Source organism: Homo sapiens, chromosome 19 (genome assembly GCF_000001405.40).
Source record: "Homo sapiens chromosome 19, GRCh38.p14 Primary Assembly".
In the NCBI taxonomy this organism is placed as follows: domain Eukaryota; kingdom Metazoa; phylum Chordata; class Mammalia; order Primates; family Hominidae; genus Homo; species Homo sapiens.
Window position 1 is genome coordinate 37370805 of NC_000019.10, and position 22582 is coordinate 37393386.

Sequence of the window (22582 nt, forward strand, 5' to 3'; positions counted from 1 at the left end):
CGGCAAGCATAAAGGTGTGCAGCAACAGTCACACACGAACCACCACACCCAAGCATTCAACCAGTCAGCCCCGCGCGCAGCCTGGCCGCTTTCCCCAACACAGCAGCTCAAGGTCACTGGAGAGCCTACGACCGCACACAGCCCTCTCCGGTACCTGCCCCCGTGGCGCAGGCGCGCAGTGGAGGGGGCCGCGGGGTTCTCTGGGAGATGTAGTTCAACGATGACGGCCGTGGCGCAAAGCGTTCTGGGGCTCGTGGTTCGCGGGGTCCATGGGGAACGCGGTGTCGCTGGTTCAGATCTCGCAGAGCTCAGAGTCCTGCATGCCTCAGTCCTCGCCTCGCTCCTCCTCGCGGAGGATTCTGGGAGGTGACGTCGCGGGTCTCGGTCGCGGGGCCCGTTTGCAGAGCCCGCGGCGCCGGGAGGTGAGTGGGGCCGGGCCCCGGGCGGGAGCGGGAAGTCAAGGGCGGGCTCCGGGTGGCCCGGCCGCGCCAGGGATGGGAACCCGGCAGGAGTCGCTGGGGAGGCCGTGTGTGTTTCACTGTATTACCAACTATGTGACAGGCTGCGGGTGTGACAGAATGTGATCTTGTGTCACTGTGTGTGTGTGTTTGTGCGCGTGCGCCCGCTTGTGTGTGACTGTAACCATCTGTGTCTGGGGGTGAAACTGTGAATATGTGTGTTTGTGTGTGACTGTCTCTGCAGGTGTAGCTGTGTATGTGTTTATGAGAGACTGGGGTGTGACATTGTGTGTTTGTGTAAATGCATGTGTGTGGTTATGTGACCACCTGTTTCTGCGGATACAATTGCGTTTGAATGTGTGTGACAGCAAGTGTGATTGTGCGACTATGACCATCTGTCTCCGCAGGTATAGTTTTGTATCAGTAATTGTGACAAGATGTGTGACTTCTGTGGTATGCTACTTTGTGTGTGATTGTGTGTGATTGTTTATCTCTGTTGGTGTAGTTGTATGTTACCATCTATCTTTGTGCTTATGTGGCTGTGTATTGTGTGAGATTATGGGTGTGTTTGTGTGACTCTATACATTTGTGATTGGGTGAGAATTTGTGTGTATATATGAGATTGTGGGATTGATGTATGAAGCACAGAAATATTAGAATTACCCAAGTTCACACAGTTAACAAGTGACAGCACCAGAACTCAAACCCAAGCAGTTTAGCTCTAGAGGTCTCGCTTTTTTTTTTTTTTTTCTCTTGAGATGGAGTCTCACTCTATTGCCCAGGCTGGAGTGCAATGATGCGATCTCGGCTCACTGCAACCTCCGCCTCCCAGGTTCAAGTGATTCTCCTGCCTCAGCCTCCCAAGTAGCTGGGATTACAGGCGCGCACCACCACGCCCAGCTAGTTTTTGTATTTTTAGTAGAGACGAGGTTTCACCATGTTTGGCCAGGCTGGTCTCCAACTCCTGACCTCATGATCCGCCCACCAGAGCCTCCCACAGTGCTGGGATTACAGGCGTGAGGCGCTGCGCCCTGCTGCAGTTTTTATGGACAATTTCAAGCTGCACTACACTAAGGAAATAACTGCTAGGGACTGAGTTGCCTAGTGCAAAGTAGTCCAGAATTAGGGGGTGAAATTAGGGGGTGATGTATACTGAATTCTAGGTCAACCACAGTTGTCCCTTTCTTTTCTTTTCTTTTCTTTTCTTTTTTTTTTTTTTTTTTTTTTTGAGACAGAGTCTTGCTCTGTCCTGTAGGCTAGAGTGCAGTGGTGCAATCTCGGCTCACAGCACCCTCTACCTCCTGGGTTCAATCAAGCCTCCCACCTCAGCCTCCCAAGTAGCTGGGACTACAGACACATGCCACCACGCCCAACTAATTCTTGTACTTTTTGAGGAGATGGGGTTTTGCCATGTTGCCCAGGCTGGTCTTGAATTCCTAGTCTCAAGTGATTTGCCCACCTTGACCTCCCAAAGTGCTGGGATTACTGGTGTGAGCCACTGTGCCCAGCCTGTCTCTATTTTTACAATGAAGAAATGTTGGCTCTAAGAGGACAAGGAACTTACTTCAGATTGCCCAGTTTGTTGTTGCTTTAGTATTAAAATTTGGCGATGTTTCCCTCAGGCTGCATTTCTGTAGAGAAATAAAGGTAACACCTGCCATCTCTAAAGATGCCTCTCTAAGGAATATATGGCATTGATTACTCGGGTTGTGTTGAATATTTCCCATTCAGACATCGTGGCCTCTCAAAAGAGGACTGGTTTTGAGGTCACATTTCAGTTGGACCCCGGACTTTGAGTTGGTTGTTTAAGCTTCTGGAACCTCCCTTTTACTACCAGTAAAGTGGAGATATTAATACCTATCTTTGTAGTTTTGTGGAGCAGTAGTAGTTCTGAGGATTAAATGAGATAATGACACAATGAGATAACCATGTGTGACAGTCTCTCTATCTTTGTGCTAATACGGCTGTGTGTGTGAGAGAGAGAGATTATGCCACCGATTGTGTAAATGTGTATATGTTTGTGATTGGGTGAGAATTTTATGTGTATGTGAGATCACGGGATTATGTCGGACCTAGTCTGATTGTGAGGCACAGGAAGATTAAAATTACTTGCCCAACACAGCATGAGTTAACATTGTATATTTATATTACATAAGGCACAGTAAAATTTATTTATTCATTTATCTAATTTTTTGAGAGACTACAATGGTCTGGTGGTGTTCTGTCATTAGAATACACCTGTGAACCAAACAAAACCTAGTTCTCTTGGATCTTACAATCTTGCATGGGAAGAGAAACAATAAAGAAACAAAGCAGTATGTAACATGTCCAGTGGTGATAAATGCTGAGAAAAAAATAATTCAGGGTAAAGAAAAATGGAGTACCTGGAACAGGGGTTCCCTTGAGGTAGAATTTTCAGGGAAGTCCCTCTGATGAAGGGACACCTGAATGCAGATAGGAATAAAGAGGAGTGGCCCATGCTGGTGTCTGGGAGAAGGTTCCAGACGGAAGGAAAAGTCCACAACCCTGAAGAAGGGGTGTACAGTGTTTGAGTAACAGTAGGAAGACATGTGCCTGGAGTGTGGCGAGTAAGGGGCGGAAGGGTAGGAAATTAGGTCAGAGGTGCAGCCAGGGGCCAGATCATGAACCACCTTGTTGGCCGTAGGACAGACTTTGGATTTTGTTGAGTTCAGGCTATGCGTCCTTAATATATAAGTCAAGACTTTGGGAGTTAAGTTCAGCATTGGATTCCACCCCGCCACCCTGGCCAGATCTTGGAAAAGGTGAGGCTGGCCCATGTAGGGAGAAGAAAGGGGCAGTAGTATTTTTGTGGGTCTTGGACCAAAAACACAGGGCTGGCACATCATCATTTCTTCATTAACTCTCCCTTCTCAGGACTTTGTTCTTCTTCAGAAGAGAAAACTGAAGAAGGAGGAATGGCTGTGGGGCTTTGTAAAGCCATGTCCCAGGTAAGCATGCTCTTTCACTTTGTTTTCAGACATTTGACCTCATTTTTCAGGACTTTGGGACCACAGGGAAAATCACAAATAGCCCAATGAGCACCCCTTCCACTTCTCTCTCCACCTTTTGTTCATATAATCCTTCTACAAAACATTTAATATCTTTTTTAGTCAGTGTTATGCTCAAATGTGTGATGGAGCAGAGCTATCCTCTTTAGATGGATGATGATTTGTTGAGTCGGCAATGAGTGCAAGTGAAATAAGGGATAGAGTTTGATTACTGAGTGATCTATTAAATAGGGAGGTCAAGGATGGCCTCTCTGAGGAAGTGACATTTAGCAAAACAAAACTTCAGTGAAAGTAGCAAGTAAGTTTTGTGGAGATCTGGGGAAGAGCTTTAAAAGAAGGAGTACAAAGTTATTATGGTGGGAACATGTTTGGTGTATTCCAGGAATAGCAATGAGTCTGTCCTTGGAGGGAAATGAGCACTGTGATGTCAGAGGTATAGCTGGGAACCAAATTACGTAGGCCCTTTCAAGTCATGATCTGAACTTTGAATTTGGTTCTAAGTGAAGGAGAGCCATTGGAACGTTTGTGATCTGATTTGATTTATGCCTTAAAGTGAAAACAGATAGCAGGGGAGTACAGGTGGAAGCAGAGAGGCCAGTCAGGAGACTCTTTTAGTAATCCAGACAGGAGGTGATAGCAGCCTGGATCATGGTGGTGGCATTGGAGCTAGTGAGATTCTGGGTATAGACTGGAGATAGAAAATGCGATTTGATCAAGGATTCGTTGTGGCATGTGAGAGGAAGAAGTCAGGATGCCTACAGAGATTTTTGGCTAGGCAGCTACATGAATGGGCATCCCATTTACTGAGCTGGAAAGACAATGTGAAGTGGGATGGATATCAATAATTGAATTCTGGATATATTTAGAGACCTTTTGGATATCCAAATGGAATGCTGATTATACATCTGGAGTTCAGGACTACAGATGTGAATTTGGGAGTCCTTAGTGTATTTTCTTTCTTTCTTTCTTTCTTTCTTTCTTTCTTTCTTTCTTTCTTTCTTTCTTTCTTTCTTTCTTTCTTTTCTTTCTTTCTTTCTTTCTTTCTTTCCTTTCTTTCCTTTCTTTCTTTTCTTTTCTTTTTTTTTTTTGAGATGGAGTGTTGCTCTGTCGCTCAGGCTGGAGTGCAATGGCGCAATCTCGGCTCACTGCAGCCTCTGCCTCCTGGGTTCAAGCGATTCTCCTGCCTCAGCTTTCCGGGTAGCTGGGACTATAGGCACACACCACCACGCCCAGCTAATTTTTGTATTTTTAGTAGAGATGGATTTCACGATGTTGGCCAAGATGGTCTTGATCTCCTGACCTCGTGATCTGCCTGCCTCGGCCTCCCAAAGTGCTGGGATTACAGGGGTGAGCCAGTGTGCCCGGCTGTCCTTAGTGTATTTAAAACATGAGACAGGATGAGATTATCTTGAGGGCAGTTTTGTGGTGAACGTAGATAGGAAAGAGATCGAAGGACTGGCTTTAGGATGTTCAACATTCAGAGCCACACAAGAAGAGGAGGAACCAGCAAAAGAGACTGAGAAGAACTGATGTAGAAGGAAAACCAGAAGAGTGTGGGTTCTGGAAGCCAAGAGGAGAAAGTGTTTCAAGGATGGGATGATCAACTGAGCTAAGTTCCTCTGAGAGGGACTGAAGAAGACGAAGACTGAGAACTCACCGTTGGATTTGGTAACATGGAAATATTCTTGACAAGAGCTACTTCATGGAATGACTGGGATGAAGACATCATTGTGGTGGGTTTAAGAGAGAATGGAGGCCGGGTGCGGTGGCTTATGGCTGTAATCCCAGTACTTTGGGAGGCCAAGATGGCGGGACCATCGCCTGAGCCCAGGAGTTCAAGACCAGTTATGTATGCAGGGCAACACAGGGAGACTCCATCTCTAAAAAAATTTTTAATACTAAAATCCAAAAACATAGGCATGGCGGCAGATGCCTATAGTCCCAGCTGCTTGGGAGACTGAGGTGGGAGGATCGCTTGAGCCCAGGAGTTTGAGGCAGCAGGGAGCTATGATTCATGTGGTACACATTACAGCCTGTGCAACAGAAACAGAGTGAGACCCTGTCTTAAAAAAAAATAAAAAATAAAAATAAAAAGGCTAGGTGCAGTGGCTCATGCTCATGCCTATTATCCCAGCACTTTGGGAGGCTAAGGCAGGTGGATGACCTGAGGTCAGGAGTTCAAGGCTAGCCTGGCCAACATGGTGAAACCCCATCTCTACTAATAATACAAAAATCAGCCAGGTGTGGTAGCGCATGCCTGTAATCCCAGCTACTCAGGAGTCTGAGGCAGGAGAATCGCTTGAACCCAGGAGGTGGAGGTTGCAGTGAGCCAAGATCGCGCCATTGCACTCCAGCCTGGGGCCTGGGTGACACGAGTGAAACTCCATCTCCAAAAAAAAAAAAAAAAAAAAAAAAGGCAGGAAAAAGAGAATGGAAAACGAGGAAGGTGAGAACAAAGACAGTGAATTTAGACTTACAGTAGTGTAGCCAGCAGGCACATATGAGTACTCTAAATTGTGATACACTGTAAGTGCAAAGTATATACCAGATTTTGAAGATTCAGTACAAAAAAGAGTGTAAGAAGTCTCATTAATTTTTTATATTGATTACATGTTGAAATGATAACATTTTAGATATGTTGGGTTAAATAAAAATGATATTTTTTCTATTTATTTTTTTCTTGTGACTACTGGAAAATTTCAAATTACATATGTGACTCAAGTATTTCTGGTGGATAACACTGGTCTAAACAACTTACGGGAAGAGTTTTGTTATTAAGAGGAGTAGAGAAATGGGACAATAGCTAAAGGGAGATCATGGAAGGGAACTTATTTATTTATTTATCTATGTATTTATTTGCAAGAGGGAAGATATTGCATCAGTTTTTTTGCTGATTGGAATGATCCAGTAAAGTGAGAATAGTTGGTAGTAAAAGGGAGAGAGGCGAAAATGTCTTCGTGTGGGCAAGTGGACGGACTGGTCTTTGAAGCCTAGAGTTTTATTCATAGTCACAGAGGGCAGACAGAATATACAGGTATGAGTACAGATACAGAAGGGTAAGTACATATGGTGGCTGGAGGATGAGGAAGTTAAAAGTGAGATCGGGATGAGTTGATGGTGGTTCGAGAGAGAGTTATGAAATAGTTATCAGGAGAGGAGGAGAGTGAATTTATTAGGGAAGCATAGTAGAGTGGTTTTGCAGTGCTTTTGAGGACATTCTGGCCATATGCAAGAAGTACTTTGTGTCAACATGTTTTATCAATCAGGGTTCTAGCAAGGCAATCAAAAGGCAACTATTTAAAAGATATTATCAGGACATAGAGAAACTATAAAGGATCATGCTGTACTCTGGGGCTCATAACAGCATAGCTCTCTTACTAACCCTAGATCTTTGAATCCAGAGACAGAGAGCTGGGTGGAGGGGCCCCTGACAGGTGCTCTGAACTTTGATTGAAAGACAGAGACCACCCAGGGTGGGACTCCCACCCAGGGAGGGAGCCAGGGGAATAAGTATTCTGCCTTACTTACCTTCCTTTCATCTCTTGCTTGTGGCTGAACCCAACAGAATATGGGATGGGACAACGGAGTTTATTGATACAGTCAGCCTCCTAGGACTCAGAAAAGAGTAGAGGAGCACATGGAAGTTATACAACACTATGGAGTTGTGTAAATTTTTCCCTAGACACATTCAGCCATAGCCATAATTCCACTATGTAGAATAACCATATTTGATATTTCTTTTCTTTTTTTTTTTTTGAGACGGAGTCTTGCTCTGTCACCCAGGCTGGAAGTACAGTGGCACAATCTTGGCTCCCTGCAGCCTCCTCCCGAGTTCAAGCAATTCTCCTGCCTCAGCCTCCCGAGTAGTTGGGACTACAGGCACATACCACCATGTCCAGCTAATTTTTGTATTTTTAGTAGAGACGGAGTGTCACCATTTTGGCCAGACTGGTCTCGAACTCCTGACTTCAGGTGATCTGCCTGCCTTGGCTTCCCAAAGTGCTGGGATTACAGGCGTGAACCACTGCGCCTGGCCTGATATTTCATTATTTTTGATTAAAAAAAGAGAACATACTGTACATACTGGAACCCTATCATTTTTAAGCACTGAATACTCTTTCTTCATATGGATATTTTATAGGAAACTTCACCATTTATTCCCTGAGTAGCAAATATTTACTGAGAGTTTACAATGTGATCAGTTTTGTAATAGATACTGGATATATATCAGCTTATAAAACAAATCTCTCTCCCTTCACTCAGCCTACAGTTCAGTGCTATAGCCTAAACTCTATTTTTGAACATGTAAGTTTTTTCCAGATTTTTTGCATAACCTTCCAATGAAAATTCTATCTAAGTTGCTTCACATATACCTCATTATTTCTTCAGGATATGTTCCTGGACGTTTCTCCTTACATATAAAGTCTAACTTTCAGGCCATACCCTTTTGTTAAAGCCCAATTCAAGGCCTTTCTCCTATTCTGCCCCACCTGATGTCTCAATTTGGGGAATATAAAGGAATCCCCCATATAAGATTTTCTTTATACTTAGCATATGTAACATACAACTTAGTCTTTGCTGTTTCTTGTTATAAGCTAATTTTGTGTATATATGTCTTTTTTATAAAAATGTAAAATTTTCAAATGGTGAGTCTGTTTCTAATATTTCTCTTCTCTTAAAGTATTTGACAAACCTCAGCATGTAATTGTTCTCCAATAATTATTTTCCTCGCATCACTTAGAGCTTTGAACTCTGGCCAAATTCATCTTTTTTGCTAGGACCATATAGGTGTCTGGGCACCTGGTGAACAAGAATTTTTTTATTTCAGGGGTTGGTGACCTTCAGAGATGTGGCGCTAGACTTTTCCCAAGAAGAGTGGGAATGGCTGAAGCCATCTCAGAAGGATTTATACAGAGATGTCATGTTGGAGAACTACAGGAACTTGGTATGGCTTGGTAAGGATGTTTCTCCCCCATAATTTAAAAATCTTCCTCTGGGGTGTTTTTGCTTCCTCTGTTGAGAATATCTAGGACATCTTAAGACATCTTAAAAGCACTTACTTGCCTTTCTACTTCCTGTTCCCAGGAAATGATTTGAAATATATATTTGCTTAAATTTTAATTAATTAATTTACTTTTGGCAGACATTCTGAACACATGAAGTAATTTCTTTTTTTTTTTTTTTTTTTGAGACAGAGTCTTGCTCTTGTCGCCCAGGCTGGAGTGCAGTGGTGCGATCTCAGCTCACTGCAACCTCCGCCTCCTGGATTCAAGCGATTCTGCTGCCTCAGCCTCCTGAGTAGCAGGGATTACAGGCGCCCACCACCACACCCAGCTAATTTTTGTACTTTTACTAGAGATGGGGTTTCTCCATGTTGGCCAAGCTGGTCTCGAACTCCTGACCTCAGATGATCCACCCACCTTGACCTCCCAAAGTGTTGGGATTACAGGCGTGAGCCACCGCGCCCAGCATATGAAGTAATTTCATAGAGTTGGAAATGAGTAGTTCCCTTTGCCGTAGAATGGTGGTTTGGAACAGCAACATCAGCATGTCCTGGGAATTTGTTAAAATGCAAATTATGAGGCCCCATTCTAGACCTACAAAATCAGAAACTGTGGGAGTAGGCTCAGTAGTCTGGGTTTTAATAAACTCTCCAAATGATCCTGATGTCTGTTAAAGTTTGAGAGCCACTGTAGTTTCTGATGCAGTAGTTCTGGGTTGCGGCCTGAGAATGTGCATTTCTAATTAGTTCCTAGGTGATGGCTGCAGCTGCTGTAGCACTTTGAGAACCACTGTCACGGCAGAAGCTTCATCCTCCTCCTCATCCATACAAGCGTCATTCCATTCTCTAGCTCTTCCTCTAATGTCCATTCTTGCCTGATGATCAAGATATTGGGTCTGCGTCCTAGACAGCTGTGGCATGTTGATTTGTTTGTCTGTATGTCTTTCTGTCTCTTGCTCTCATTTTTCTTCCCCTGTGAACAGGACTCTCCATTTCTAAGCCCAACATGATCTCCTTACTGGAGCAAGGGAAGGAACCGTGGATGGTGGAGAGAAAGATGTCACAGGGTCACTGTGCAGGTGAGTGACAGATCACCAGGCAGGGAGGACTATTGTAAGGTACTCAACCAAGTAGTAAGTAGGAAACTGTTTTGAGCTTCAGGTGGGATGAGAACTGAAATCTCCATAGTATGTGCTTCCCTAGAAACCTCACCACACCCTGGGGTTTTTTCTTTTTCTTTCCATCAAATTATACTCTCCGGTCTTCCACCTATACCTTGAATCTCAATCCTTCTCAGCTCTTCTTTTCCTTTTATGGTTAGAATTGTATTACATTTCTAGATTTCTTTTTCAGAGTTTTTATTTTTATCAGAATTATCAAAGATATGTACACACAGTGTTTAAAGAATCAAGTAGTAGTATTAGGTTGGTGCAAAAATAATTGCAGTTTTGCCAAAAAACGCAATTACCTTTGCACCAAAAAGCCTATACAAGGCTTTTTCCCTTAAAGAAGGAATTCTTGTTCCCGGCTCCCCAGTTTCCCTCTTCCTAGAGCGATCCACTTTCTTTTCTTTTGTAGTTTATTTTGGTGTTCCCTTCATGTCTCCAAAAATATGTTAATGTTGCTACTCTTGATTTTTTTTCAGGGTGAGCCCTTATTCGGTATCTTCTTATAAGAAAATAAGGAGTTAGCACTTTCTTCTCCTGAATCCAACACATAAGGCACACACACAAATACACACATTTCCCATCCCCTATCTTATCAATGTCATCATTTTGATTAAGTCACTATTCAGCATTTATTTTATTATGGCCATTTAGTGCTAGTCATAGCTGTGCTGTGCATATGGCAAGTTACTTTTTCTCTACTCCTTTTTATTTTTCCTGGAGTTAATAATGACTTGGGAATTTTGTTTGTTTGTTTGTTTGTTTTTGCTCAGTTTATATATACATAACCCTAATCCAGTTCCCGACTTACCATCAATTGTCTGAGTCTTTCAAGATACTTGGACATATTAGGTGATCTATCCACTTCATCTTCTTGGAGAAATCTCTCCTGGAATCCTCAGATACGCTTCACTCTACACAAATGGCTCATTATATTTGCATGCACTCAATTTGGATCTATCTGATTTATCTGATATTTTCTCATAATTAGATTGAGGTAGTGCATTTTTGCAAAGAATGTCACAGAAATAATGTTGTATCTCTCTCAGTGCATCATTCCAAAGGATGTATAATATCGATATGTCTTATTATCGGTGATGTTAACTTTGCACACTTAGTGAAGGTAGTGTCTGCTTGGTTTCTCCATTATAAAGTTCTTATTTTTCTATTTGTAGTTAATAAATATCTTGGGGGAGATACTTTGAGATTATTCAGTTTCTTCTGTAATTTTTGCCCATTTATTTTAGCATTTATTGCTGGATCTCTTCAACTATTATTACTGTGGTATTAACCTAATGTTGATTTGTTCCATTTCCCTCTTTTCTTTGTGTATATTAATTGGGATTGTTCTGAAGGAAGAGCTGCTCTTTCTCCTCCATTTACTTATATATTCAATTATATTTATGGATTTTTTTCCTATGAGGTAAATCTAATTTACCTCATAAAATTTAATGACTTCATAAAATTTAAATGGATTTATTTTTGGATTTATGGATTTTTATTTCTATGAAGTAAATCCAATGAATCATTATGTTTCTCAAATCGTTCCAGCTTTGAATGTTGGAATCTCCTTCACATTGGTTCCTTTGACCTTCTGACATGCCCCCATGCATTTTTTGGGCACGTCCTTCCTTCTGGCACAAGGTATTCCAGGTTCTCTTATTTTCCTTGCCCCAGCCTTGAATCAACCACTTCTCCAAGGAGCCCTCATTGCTTTATTGGGAAATGGTGTTTAGAAACCAAGCTAGGTATGCTCTAGGCTACTGGGATATCACTCTTTCTGGCCCTGACAGCAGCTAAAGCTAGGAAACAGATAGATAGATAGGTAGATAGATAGATAGATAGATAGATAGATAGATAGATAGATAGATATTTACACACACACCCCTATATTTATTTCTGCCTCTTTTTTTCCCATTTTTTATTACCTCTATCTTTTTATATACTAAAACTATCAGTTTATATTAATAACTTGATTTCTAGTCCTGCTTTACAGGGTTTATTGTAGCCTTCCTCCTTGACTTATTTGTAATTTCTTTTTCTGATAATGAGAAAAAATATATTTACCTATTTGTTCAATTTTAGTATACACATAAAGTAGTTTCAGAATTTCTAACTTACTTCTCTGTGAGAAACAAATTTACCAACTAGATTTAGGTATTTGTATATAGTACTTTTTGTTTTAGTCTTATAGTGTCCAGTCAAAATACTATTTCCAAAATTACTTAGGTTGGTTATTTCAGGTCCATTTGTTACTGTTTTTGTTTGAGATGGAGTCTCGCTCTGTCACCAGGCTGGAGTGCAGTGGGCAATCTCGGCTCACTGCAAGCTCCGCCTCCCGGGTTCAAGTGATTCTCCTGCCTCAGCCTCCCGGGTAGCTGTGACTACAGGCGCATGCCACCACGCCTGGCTAATTTTTGTATTTTTAGTAGAGACAGGGTTTCACCATGTTGGCCAGGATGGTCTCAATCTCTTGACCTCGTGATCCGTGCCAGCCTTGGCCTCCCAAAGTGCTGGGATTACAGTTATGAGCCACCATGCCCGGCCGTATATACGTAGTTTTATAAGGAATTGCTACATTCCCCTCCAGAAAAGTTGTCTGCTTAGTTTTTTTCCTGCTGTAACAAATTAGCACACATTTAGTGGCTTAATCCAACACAAATTTATTGTAGCTCTGGAGGTCAGAAGTAAAAAGTAGGCCTTACAGAGCTAAAATCAAGATGTCAGCAGCCTATATTCCTTCCTAAAACTGTATGGGAGAATGCGTTTCCTTGATTTTTTATGCTTTTTTTTTGAGATGGAGCCTTGCTCTGTCACCCAGGCTGGAGTGCAATGGCACGATCTTGGCTCACTGCAACCTCTGCCTTCCAGGTACAAGGGATTTTCCTGCCTCAGCCTCCCGAGTAGCTGGGATTACAGGTGCTCACCATCATGCCCAGATAATTTTTGTAATTTTAGTAGAGACAGGGTTTCGCCATGTTGGCCAGGTTGATCTCAAACTCCTGACCTCAGGTGATCCACCCTTCTTGGCCTCCCAATGTGCTGGGATTATACAGGTGTGAGCTACCACACCCAGCTGATTTTTTTTTTTTTTTTGAGACAGAGTTTTTCTCTTGTTGTCCAGGCTGGAGTGCAGTGGCGCAATCTTGGCTCACTGCAATCTCCACCTCCTGGGTTCAAGCGATTCTCCTGTATCAGCCTCCCAAGTAGCTGGGACTACAGGTGCGTACCACCACACCCAGTTAATTGTTGTATTTTTAGTAGAGACCGGGTTTCACCATATTGGCCAGGCTGGTCTCGAACTCCTGACCTTGTGATCCACCTGCTTCGGCCTCCCAAAGTGCTGGGAGTACAGGCATGAGCCACCGTGCCCAGCCTATTTTCCACTTTTTAAAATAACTTTAAGTGTAGGGCTTATATACAATACAGATTTGAGTTTTACTATATAAACCAATCTGATTTTCTTTTCATTTTAATAAGTGAAAGTCTAATTACATTTTTGGTAAATTTGGGCTTAATCCTATATATTGTCTTATGTTATATTTTCTGGGTTTTATAGTTTTTAAAAAGCACTTTCAGGCTGGGTGTGGTGGCTCATGCCTGTAATCCCAGCAGTCTGGGAGGCTGAGGTGGGTGGATCACGAGGTCAAGAATTCAAGACCAGCCTGGCCAACATGGTGCAACCCCGTCTCTACTAAAAATACAAAAATTAGCTGGGCGTGGTGGTGTGTTCCTGTAATCCCAGCTACTCAGAAGGCTGAGGTAGGAAAATTGCTTGAACCTGGGAGGTGGAGGTCGCAGTGAGCTGGGATCGCGCCACGGCACTTCAGCTTGGGCGACAGAGCAAGACTCCATCTCGGAAAAAAATTAAAAAGTAAAAATAAATAAATTAGCCTGACATGGTGCTGTGCACTTATTATTCCAACTACTTAGGAGACTGAGGTAGGAGGGTCACTTAAGCCTCGGAGGTCAAGGCTGCAATGAGCTGTGATAGTGCCACTGGACTCCAGCCTAGGCTAGGTGACAGAGCAAGACCCTGTCTCAAAAAAAAAAACAAAATGTGTACCTTGAAGTAAAATTGCTGGAACATGGAAGTGCATGTTTTAATTTACAAGATACTCAACTTGTTCTGGGAAGTGATTGTATCAGTTTATGCTCGTACTAACAATGACAGTGTCTGAGAATGGCATTTCCTTCCTCTCTTGATATTCTTCAACTTAAGCTTTTGATATTGTCCTTAATATTGTCTAAGTGAAATTTCTGCTGATATGAGGAAGGGAAATGCTGTTATGGTTTTAATTTACTAGTGATATTATTGAGCATCTTTCCAGGAATGCATTGTCTATAAAGTTTTTCTCTTCTGTGAATTACCTGCTCATACATTTTTTTGTTTTGTTTTTTGAGACAGGTTCTCACTCTGTTGCCCAGGCTGGAGTGCAGTGGCATGATCTTGGCTCACTGCAGCCTATACCTACGGAACTCAAGCAATCTTCTCACCTCAGCATGCACACCACTGCACCTGGTTAATTTTTTTGTTTATTTTTCTTGTAGAGACGAGGTCTCACTGTGTTGCCCAGGCTGGTCTAGCACTCCTGGGCTCAAGCGATCCTCCCATCTTGGCATCCCAAACTGTTGGGATTACTGGCATACTTCCACTTTTGGAGAATTAGATTATTTTTCTTTTTCTTACTGATTTGTAGTAGAACTAAATTCTGGGCATTATTCATTTTTCTATGATATATGTTTTAGTTGTTTTTTCTCAGATTGTCCCTTGCCTTTTGACTTTGTGTTTTCTCCCGCACACAAGTTTTCAAGGTTAATGTCAAATTCATTCCTTTCAACCAGATGTCGTCAGGATGGTAGTGAGGAGGTCATGCTCCCCTTCACTGTGTTCTCTGTGTCTTGCAGGTTTTTAATGCTGTAAGTGTGTTTCTCTTGATATTTTTTTCATGACCTTTTCCACAATGATAGGGAATTTTACAAGTCAACCCTGGTTGAGTTCTTTCACAGAGATTTTGGTGGAAGAAAGGTATAAAATGCAAGGGCTTAGGTCCTATTATTGGTTTTGGAATGTTCTTTTTTTGTTCATAATTTTCTTTTATATTATTGATTACTTTTGTCCAAGTTTATTTAAAATAATTTTCTTAAGTTCTGAAATAAAATCCTTATGGAATTCTGGTTGAAACTGATCTGATGTAAATTAACCTGTGGTAAAAACATATGCATATATTATTTTTTTGCTTTGTTGCAATTATATATTACATGGGTTCATTTAAATCTTCCTTAGAAGAATTTCGTAACATTTTGTAGGACTTTTTTTGTGTTCTTGCCAACCTTACTCCCTTCTCTCTTCCAATTACTTACATAGCAGTTGTAATCTCAACTCACTGCCTTCACCTCAGGTTCTCTTCCACTGTCTTATCACTTGTAATCTGGCTTCTGCCCTTCTAGTTTAGCTACATCCAGGTACCCTTCTTCATTTTCATATCCTTCAGCTTATTGAGATGTATAAGATAGTTCTTACCACTATCCATTTTCTCTTTTCAGAGCTCTGTTCTCCCTTTAATGGACTCTTTCCCCTGTTTTTCTGTTGTTTCCTCGTTTACCATAAGATCTTTGTTGTATTAATGTGGATCTCTGTCCAGTTCTGTGTAGTAGAACTTTCTTTTCTCTTCTTTTCCTTTTTTTTTTTTTTTTTTTTTTGAGACAGTCTAGCTTTGTCACCCAGGCTGGAATGCTGTGGCGTGATCTTGGCTCACTGCAACCTCCACCTGCCAGTTCAAGCAATTCTCGTGCCTCAGCCACCTGGGTAGCTGGGATTATAGATGTGAGCCACTGCGCCCAGCTAATTTTTGTATTTTCAGTAGAGACGAGGTTTCACTGTGTTGGCCAGGCTGGCCTTGAACTCCTGGCCTCAAGTGATCCACCAGCCTCGGCCTCCCAAAGTGTTGGGATTACAGGCGGGAACCCCCATGCTTGGCCTCTAGTAGAAATTTCTCTGATGATGGAAATAATCTATATGTGTGCTTTCTAATACAGTAGCCACTAGCCACATTTAGCTTTGAGTGCATAAAATGTGGCTAGTGTGAGTAAGGAACTGACTTTTTAAAATGTTATTTAAATTTAAATTGCTGCTTATACTTAGTGGCTACCGTATTGGATAGCACAGCTCTATACAGTCTTTTAATCAAGGGGATCCAATCTGTAAGTCTATATGTAAAGATAGTGGTTGGAGCTCCAGGCACCTCAGAGTCTCCCATGTTGGAAAATAACTGTAGTCTTCTCCCATCAGGCTTCTTTTATTCAGCATTAAGTTAGTTATTGTATAAATCTGCTATTTGCCTGGAGTAAAGACTTATTTTTGGTAAGATGGAGTATAGTGGCTTCAGGTGATGCCTACAAGAGATGAGATCCAGGCAAGTGAGTGAGGGAACAGAAGTAGTTGTATTTCTAGGGAAAGAATGAATGGTATGGACCTGACAAAGGACAGGCGAACAAGGCCTCTCAGGCCTGGGTGTAGACAAGTAAGAAAATCCAAGGCGGTATATAGGACGGACTGGTAGGGATGAGGCTTTCCTTGGGTGAAGGGTGTATTGGAAAGAAGAAAGATACAGATGAATAATATTTCCTTTTCAATTTTGTTCTGACCTATACTGGAGACAGCTTTACTTTTCAACAGATGAGAAACTGTTATGGCAAAGACTGTATCTATTTAACCCCCAAATGCCAAAATACGTAGTTCTAAAATAATCCGTAACCACATCTAAACATGAAAATGTCTCTGTCACTGAAATAGTCACTATATTTTGGAATCCTGATTATAGCCTTGAACACCAAGCTCATATTCTCCGAGAATTATTCCTTAACTAAGCTAGTGAGTTTTGATCTCTTTTTTCCTGACATTTATACCTGTAATAATCTATATCATATTAGCTTATCCTTCATTATGTGCCATATGGAATTATCACCTGCACAGGCTTGAGCTCTCAGAATTTACAAAAGGTAGAAAGACCTTGTGTCAGGCTTTCCCCCCTCTACTAGGTACTTCAGACCTACTAATAGGTTCTATGTATTTGAATATATTGGCTGATTATTGTGGTGTGAAAGGACTTTCTCATTTTTTGAGATCATCTTCTAAAAAATAGTTTTATTTCTACCTTACCCAACCAATATCCTCTCCTGAAAGTATCACGTATCTTCTCAATAGGCATCATTTTCCCTTAATGGTGAGAAAAGCTGACCACTAGGTTTCTTTTAGTCACTGAGAAAAAATATATATAAATTTTTCCTGGACCCTGATAAAAATCTTAGAAGTTGTTGAACAGCATTAGTGGAAAAAGTTGCTATGAGATTAATCTGGCAGCAGTCATCCATTTAACAACATGCTGACATTGTCTGAGGCATTGGATGCAATAGTAGAAGAAAAAGGGGTGAACATCCATCCCTGCCCTCATGGAGCTTTCAGTCTTATGAATACCAGTGCAGAATGGACAGGAGGGCTTAAAGACTAGAGGCAGGGAAACTGGCTGTGATCTAATCAGACATCCTCAACTCCTTATCTTGTTAGCATTTAGCTTTGCCTGCCTTTTGATGACCTGCATTTTACCTGTGTCCCCAACTACCACCTCCCTATCGTCAACACATATACCTTCCCTTCTCAGCTCTCTTTATTCTTTGTGCTTCCATTGTCTTTTGTTCATATTGCATGGCCATATTTGGGAGCTATTAGAACCACAGACTTTCTACCCTCCTTCCCCCCAGTTAAATTCTTCCATTTCTTCTCTAACAATTTTCTTCCTCATAGCAAAAGAACAAAGGAGACATTTGCTTTCTTGATATTTTTCAGACTGGGAGTCTTGGTGTGAAATTGAGGAATTATCTCCAAAATGGTTCATTGATGAAGATGAAATATCCCAGGAGATGGTAATGGAAAGGCTAGCAAGTCATGGCCTTGAATGCTCCAGTTTCAGAGAAGCCTGGAAATATAAGGGTGAATTTGAGCTACATCAGGGAAATGCGGAGAGGCATTTCATGCAAGTGACAGCTGTTAAGGAAATCTCTACTGGGAAAAGAGACAATGAATTTAGTAATTCTGGGAGAAGCATACCCCTGAAATCAGTATTTTTAACACAACAGAAAGTTCCTACCATACAGCAAGTACATAAATTTGATATTTATGATAAACTCTTCCCCCAAAATTCAGTCATAATTGAATATAAAAGACTCCATGCTGAGAAGGAATCTTTGATAGGTAATGAATGTGAAGAATTCAACCAGAGTACGTACCTTAGTAAAGATATAGGAATTCCTCCTGGGGAGAAACCTTATGAAAGTCATGATTTTTCAAAGCTCTTAAGTTTCCACTCATTATTTACTCAACATCAGACCACTCATTTTGGAAAATTACCCCATGGATACGATGAATGTGGTGATGCCTTTAGCTGTTACTCATTCTTTACTCAACCTCAGAGAATTCACAGTGGAGAAAAACCATATGCATGCAATGACTGTGGAAAAGCCTTTAGCCACGACTTCTTTCTCAGTGAACATCAAAGAACTCATATTGGGGAGAAACCTTATGAATGTAAGGAATGTAACAAAGCTTTCAGACAGAGTGCTCACCTTGCTCAACATCAGAGGATCCACACTGGAGAGAAACCGTTTGCGTGCAATGAATGTGGGAAGGCCTTTAGCCGTTATGCCTTCCTTGTTGAACATCAGAGAATTCACACAGGTGAGAAACCATATGAATGTAAAGAATGTAATAAAGCCTTCAGACAGAGTGCTCACCTTAATCAACATCAGAGGATTCACACTGGAGAGAAACCCTATGAATGTAATCAGTGTGGAAAAGCCTTCAGCAGACGCATAGCCCTTACTCTACATCAAAGAATTCACACAGGAGAGAAACCCTTCAAATGTAGTGAATGTGGGAAGACCTTTGGCTATCGCTCACACCTGAATCAACATCAGAGAATTCATACCGGAGAAAAGCCCTATGAATGCATCAAATGTGGGAAGTTTTTTAGGACTGACTCACAACTTAATCGACATCATAGAATTCACACTGGAGAGAGACCATTTGAATGCAGTAAATGTGGGAAAGCCTTCAGTGATGCTTTAGTTCTAATTCACCATAAGAGAAGTCATGCAGGAGAGAAACCCTATGAATGTAACAAATGTGGAAAGGCCTTCAGTTGTGGCTCATATCTTAATCAACATCAAAGAATTCATACTGGAGAGAAACCCTATGAATGTAGTGAATGTGGGAAGGCTTTTCATCAGATCTTGTCCCTAAGACTACACCAGAGAATTCACGCTGGAGAAAAACCTTATAAATGTAACGAATGTGGGAATAATTTTAGCTGTGTCTCAGCCCTTAGACGACATCAGAGAATTCATAATAGAGAAACGCTCTGATTATAACAAGTATAGGAAAGAAAACATGTGGTTACCACTCAATCCTTATTAAATATTAGTGAGTTCTTTTTGGTTAGTAATTCTTTGAATGTAGTTCATATTTCAGTTCATGAGTATCCGTTATTTGAAGTAGCTCAGTAGTAGACATCTGTTACTTTTTTTTTTTTCAGACAGAGTCTCGCTCTGTTGCCCAGGCTGGAGTGCAGTGGTGTAATCTTGGCTCACTGCAGCCTCTGCCTCCTGGGTTCAAGCAATCCTCCTGCCTCAGCCTCCTGAGTAGCTGGGATTACAGGTGCCTGCCACCATACCTGGCTAATTTTTGTATTTTTAGTAGAGACGGGGTTTCACCACATTGGTCAGGCTGATCTCGAACTCCTGACTTTAGGTGATCCACACGCCTCAGACTCCCAAAGTGCTGGGATTATGGGCGTGAGCCACCGCGCCTGGCCACATCTGTTACTTTTTGATCTGTTCTATACCTGGCTTAGCCCACCCTCAATGCATATGATTCAGATGAAACTGTTAATCAGGGACAGCAGTGGACTGGTCACAGGCTGGCCAATTATTTCCCCCAACCTAGTGATAAGGGATTGGCAAATGGCCCTGTCTGGATCAATGAAGTCCTTTGCGGGTATTCCTATGGGCAGTAAGAGAGGTTTTATTCTGGAACTGCAAGTTTCAAGGATTTAATAAGATTAAAAACTCACCAGTAGCCTTTTTGCCACTCATGAGGAAAGCTTTCCCAAAGAGAAATCTAACAGAGGAAAATGGAGATGAGAGACAGAAATATGATGATACAGCTTGATCTCCTGGATCCAGTCATTCCTGACAGCTACACCATCACCATCCTTTTTCATTTTTTGTGATCCAATAAATTTCCTTTTTTTGCTTAATTTGGATTATATTTTTGCCTCATGGAATTAGAGTGCTGATTCACACATTCTATGTTTGCTATACATAAAAGAAAGCCTTAATTTTTTACGTGGCATAATTATTTATCCTGAGGAGCAACCTTCTGATATAACAAGTTTATGAAAGTTGAATACACAGCCTTCATAAAACTGAGATAATTGTTACATTTTATTTGTCGATAAAACTATTTTAGTGTTTCTTAGTTTTTTTCACATTATGGCTGAATATTTTAAAATTCACCAAGTAAAATTCTTTAACAGGCTTCCCCTTAAGGAGTTAAAATCATTTGTCACAGTGACTCACCATTTGCCTGTAAAGAGAGAATGGAAAGCTAAGAGAATAATACTTTCATTTGTTTAATGAATGGCTCTTCATCTTCAAGGAATTACTTGATTTTCTTCTTTCAGTATGGGTCTAAACATATTCTGTGGCAGAATATAATAACAATTAAATTGTAAATGAGGTCTTTTGTGGGTGGGCTCTAAATTTGGTTTAAGACCCAGTGCGGTGGCTCACGCCTGTAATCCGAGCACTTTGGGAGGCCGAGGTGGGCAGATCACCTGAGGTCAGGAGTTCGAGACCAGCCTGACCAACATGGAGAAACCCCGTCTCTACTAAAAATACAAAATTAGCCGGGTGTGGTGGTGCGTGCTTGTAATCCCAGCTACTCAGGAGGGTGAGGCAGGAGAATCACTTGAACCTGGGAAGTGGAGGTTACAGTGAGCGAAGATCGCGCCATTGTACTCCAGCCTGGGCAACAAGAGCGAAACTCCTTCTCAAAAAAAAAAAAAAAAAAAAAATAAATAAATAAATAAATAAATAAATTTGGTTTAAGAAGTGTATGGATAACTTCTTTGCAGCTAGAGATATCAAACAAAGATATTGCTGGCAGAAAGAATGAGTCATTTTTAACAAATGGTAAAAGTAAAGCAGTTAATGCCTAAAATTTTTAGAGACTAAATCATTTCCATTATTGGGAGTAATGAGGAAGATGAAGGTGTAGGGCAATACGTTTCTTTTTTATCTGAGTGGATATAGGGAAATAAACTGGTGATATGGCAGCTGGGCCATCTTGAATAGTGAGAACCAGTAAGAATATTGGGTATTGCCTGAAGAGCATCTGTAAAAACATATCAGAACAAATGAAAGAGGAAAGAATGAAGGATTTATATGTGTGCATAGAGTGAATATATGTGTGCATAGAGTGAAATATTCAACTTATACTTATTTCTAATAAAATCTGAAAATTATTTTTCATAAATATTCAAATTCCCTTTAAACAGCTTAAAATACAGATTTAGTGACTCAGTACTTCAAACCTTGAATAGAAACAAATATGATTATAAAATATTTCCAAACTTATGTTACATCTAATCTGAAACATATTAATATTATAAGCTTAATTCATGTCATCATTTCTTTATTTTTTATTATATTTCCTGGAGGTATAAGGATATTTATTTTTATAATTTCCAAGCACTGAGTAATAATTTATTTCAGAAAGTTTCAGAAGGTTACAGTAAACTTTACCAAACTTGAAGAAGAATGACTCAGATCAGTAAGAAGAGTCTGAGTTACTCACTAATTGATTTTTATTTTATTTATTTATTTTTTTTGAGACAGGGTCTCACTCTGTTATCCAGGCTGGAATGCGGTGACACAATCATGGCTCACTGCAGCCTCAACTTCCCAGGCTCAAGCGACCCTCCCACCTCAGCCTCCTGAGTAGCTGGGACTACAGGTGTGCTCTACCACACCTGGCTAAGTTTCGCGTTTTTCTGTAGAGATGGGGTTTCGCGAGTTGCCCAGGCTGGTCTCCAACTCTTGGCCTGAAGTGATTTGCCCATCTCGGCTTCCCAAAGTGCTGAGATTATAGGGATGAGTCACTGTGCACAGCTACTAATTGATTTTTGATCTATGTATGGCACCTGATTTCATCCTCGAGAGTGACGTAAACCTAAGCTACTGGTTCATTCTCTGTTTATATAGTTAAACTTCACTTGTAATGTTGATAAAATCTTTTGTACCCATGTGTTTAGCTTCAGTGTATTTTACAATCTGATGTTTCTCCTCACAATGAAGTACTAAATTTTGTTTCTTTTCAACTGTACAACCCATTGTCTTGTGATATATTGACCTGATCTCTTAGGATTAGTGAAAATTTATGCTTTATTAATATTTGATTGTTATTAGGACCATCTAGAGATTTCTGTTTATGTGTGTGTATGTGCATCTGAAGATGTGTATTTTATTTAAATTTTTTGTATTAAGTGCCTACTGTGTGCCAGGCTTTGTTCTAATCTAAGCAATGGAGATACAGCAGTGAACCAAACAGACAAGAATTCCTGCCTTCAGAGAGCTAATTTCTAATAAGGAAGACAATGAAAAAGATATGTAAGTAAAATATATAATATGTAAGAAAGTAAATTCCAAGGTGAAAAAGATGAAAAAAGGGATGGGGAGCCAGGGAAGGCCCTTCTGAAGTTAACTTTTGAGTGAAGACCTAAAAGAGAAATATCTATCTATCTGTCTATCTACCTATCTCTATCTATCTATCTATCTATCTATCTATCTATCTATCTATCTATCTATCTA

At 40.9% G+C, this 22582-nt stretch overlaps 1 protein-coding gene across 5 annotated transcripts, besides 2 other annotated features; it reads left to right on the forward strand.

Annotated features, from left to right (window-relative positions):
- Positions 45–354: an enhancer, noted in NCBI's record as "active region_14546". NCBI's record gives its function as "activates an Ori minimal core promoter by ATAC-STARR-seq in GM12878 lymphoblastoid cells {active_cell/tissue: GM12878}" and the evidence as "EXISTENCE:reporter gene assay evidence [ECO:0000049][PMID:35858748]".
- ZNF527 (zinc finger protein 527) lies at positions 295–22262 on the forward strand. Of its 5 annotated transcripts, NM_032453.2 has the most exons (5): positions 295–422; positions 3354–3427; positions 8316–8442; positions 9473–9568; positions 17502–22262. In NM_032453.2, the coding sequence occupies exons 2-5, from the start codon at positions 3395–3397 to the stop codon at positions 19073–19075; spliced, it is 1830 nt and encodes a 609-aa protein (NP_115829.1). In that variant the 5' UTR covers positions 295–422; positions 3354–3394; the 3' UTR covers positions 19076–22262. The 5 variants fall into 5 exon arrangements, with proteins under 5 accessions (NP_115829.1, XP_005259386.1, XP_005259385.1 ...); XM_005259329.5 differs by lacking the exon at positions 9473–9568; XM_005259328.6 differs by lacking the exon at positions 295–422 and having other exon boundaries at positions 8316–8432.
- Positions 385–694: a silencer, noted in NCBI's record as "silent region_10555". NCBI's record gives its function as "represses an Ori minimal core promoter by ATAC-STARR-seq in GM12878 lymphoblastoid cells {active_cell/tissue: GM12878}" and the evidence as "EXISTENCE:reporter gene assay evidence [ECO:0000049][PMID:35858748]".
- Positions 22263–22582: the final 320 nt, after the last annotated feature.

Excerpts from the sequence above, each read along its gene's own strand:
- ZNF527 (NM_032453.2), top strand. The coding sequence starts at position 3,395 with ATGGCTGTGGGGCTTTGTAAAGCCATGTCCCAG. Across the intron at positions 3,428-8,315 it reads TTTGTAAAGCCATGTCCCAG|GGGTTGGTGACCTTCAGAGA; the intron begins GTAAGCATGCTC and ends TTTTTATTTCAG. Across the intron at positions 9,569-17,501 it reads GTCACAGGGTCACTGTGCAG|ACTGGGAGTCTTGGTGTGAA; the intron begins GTGAGTGACAGA and ends GATATTTTTCAG.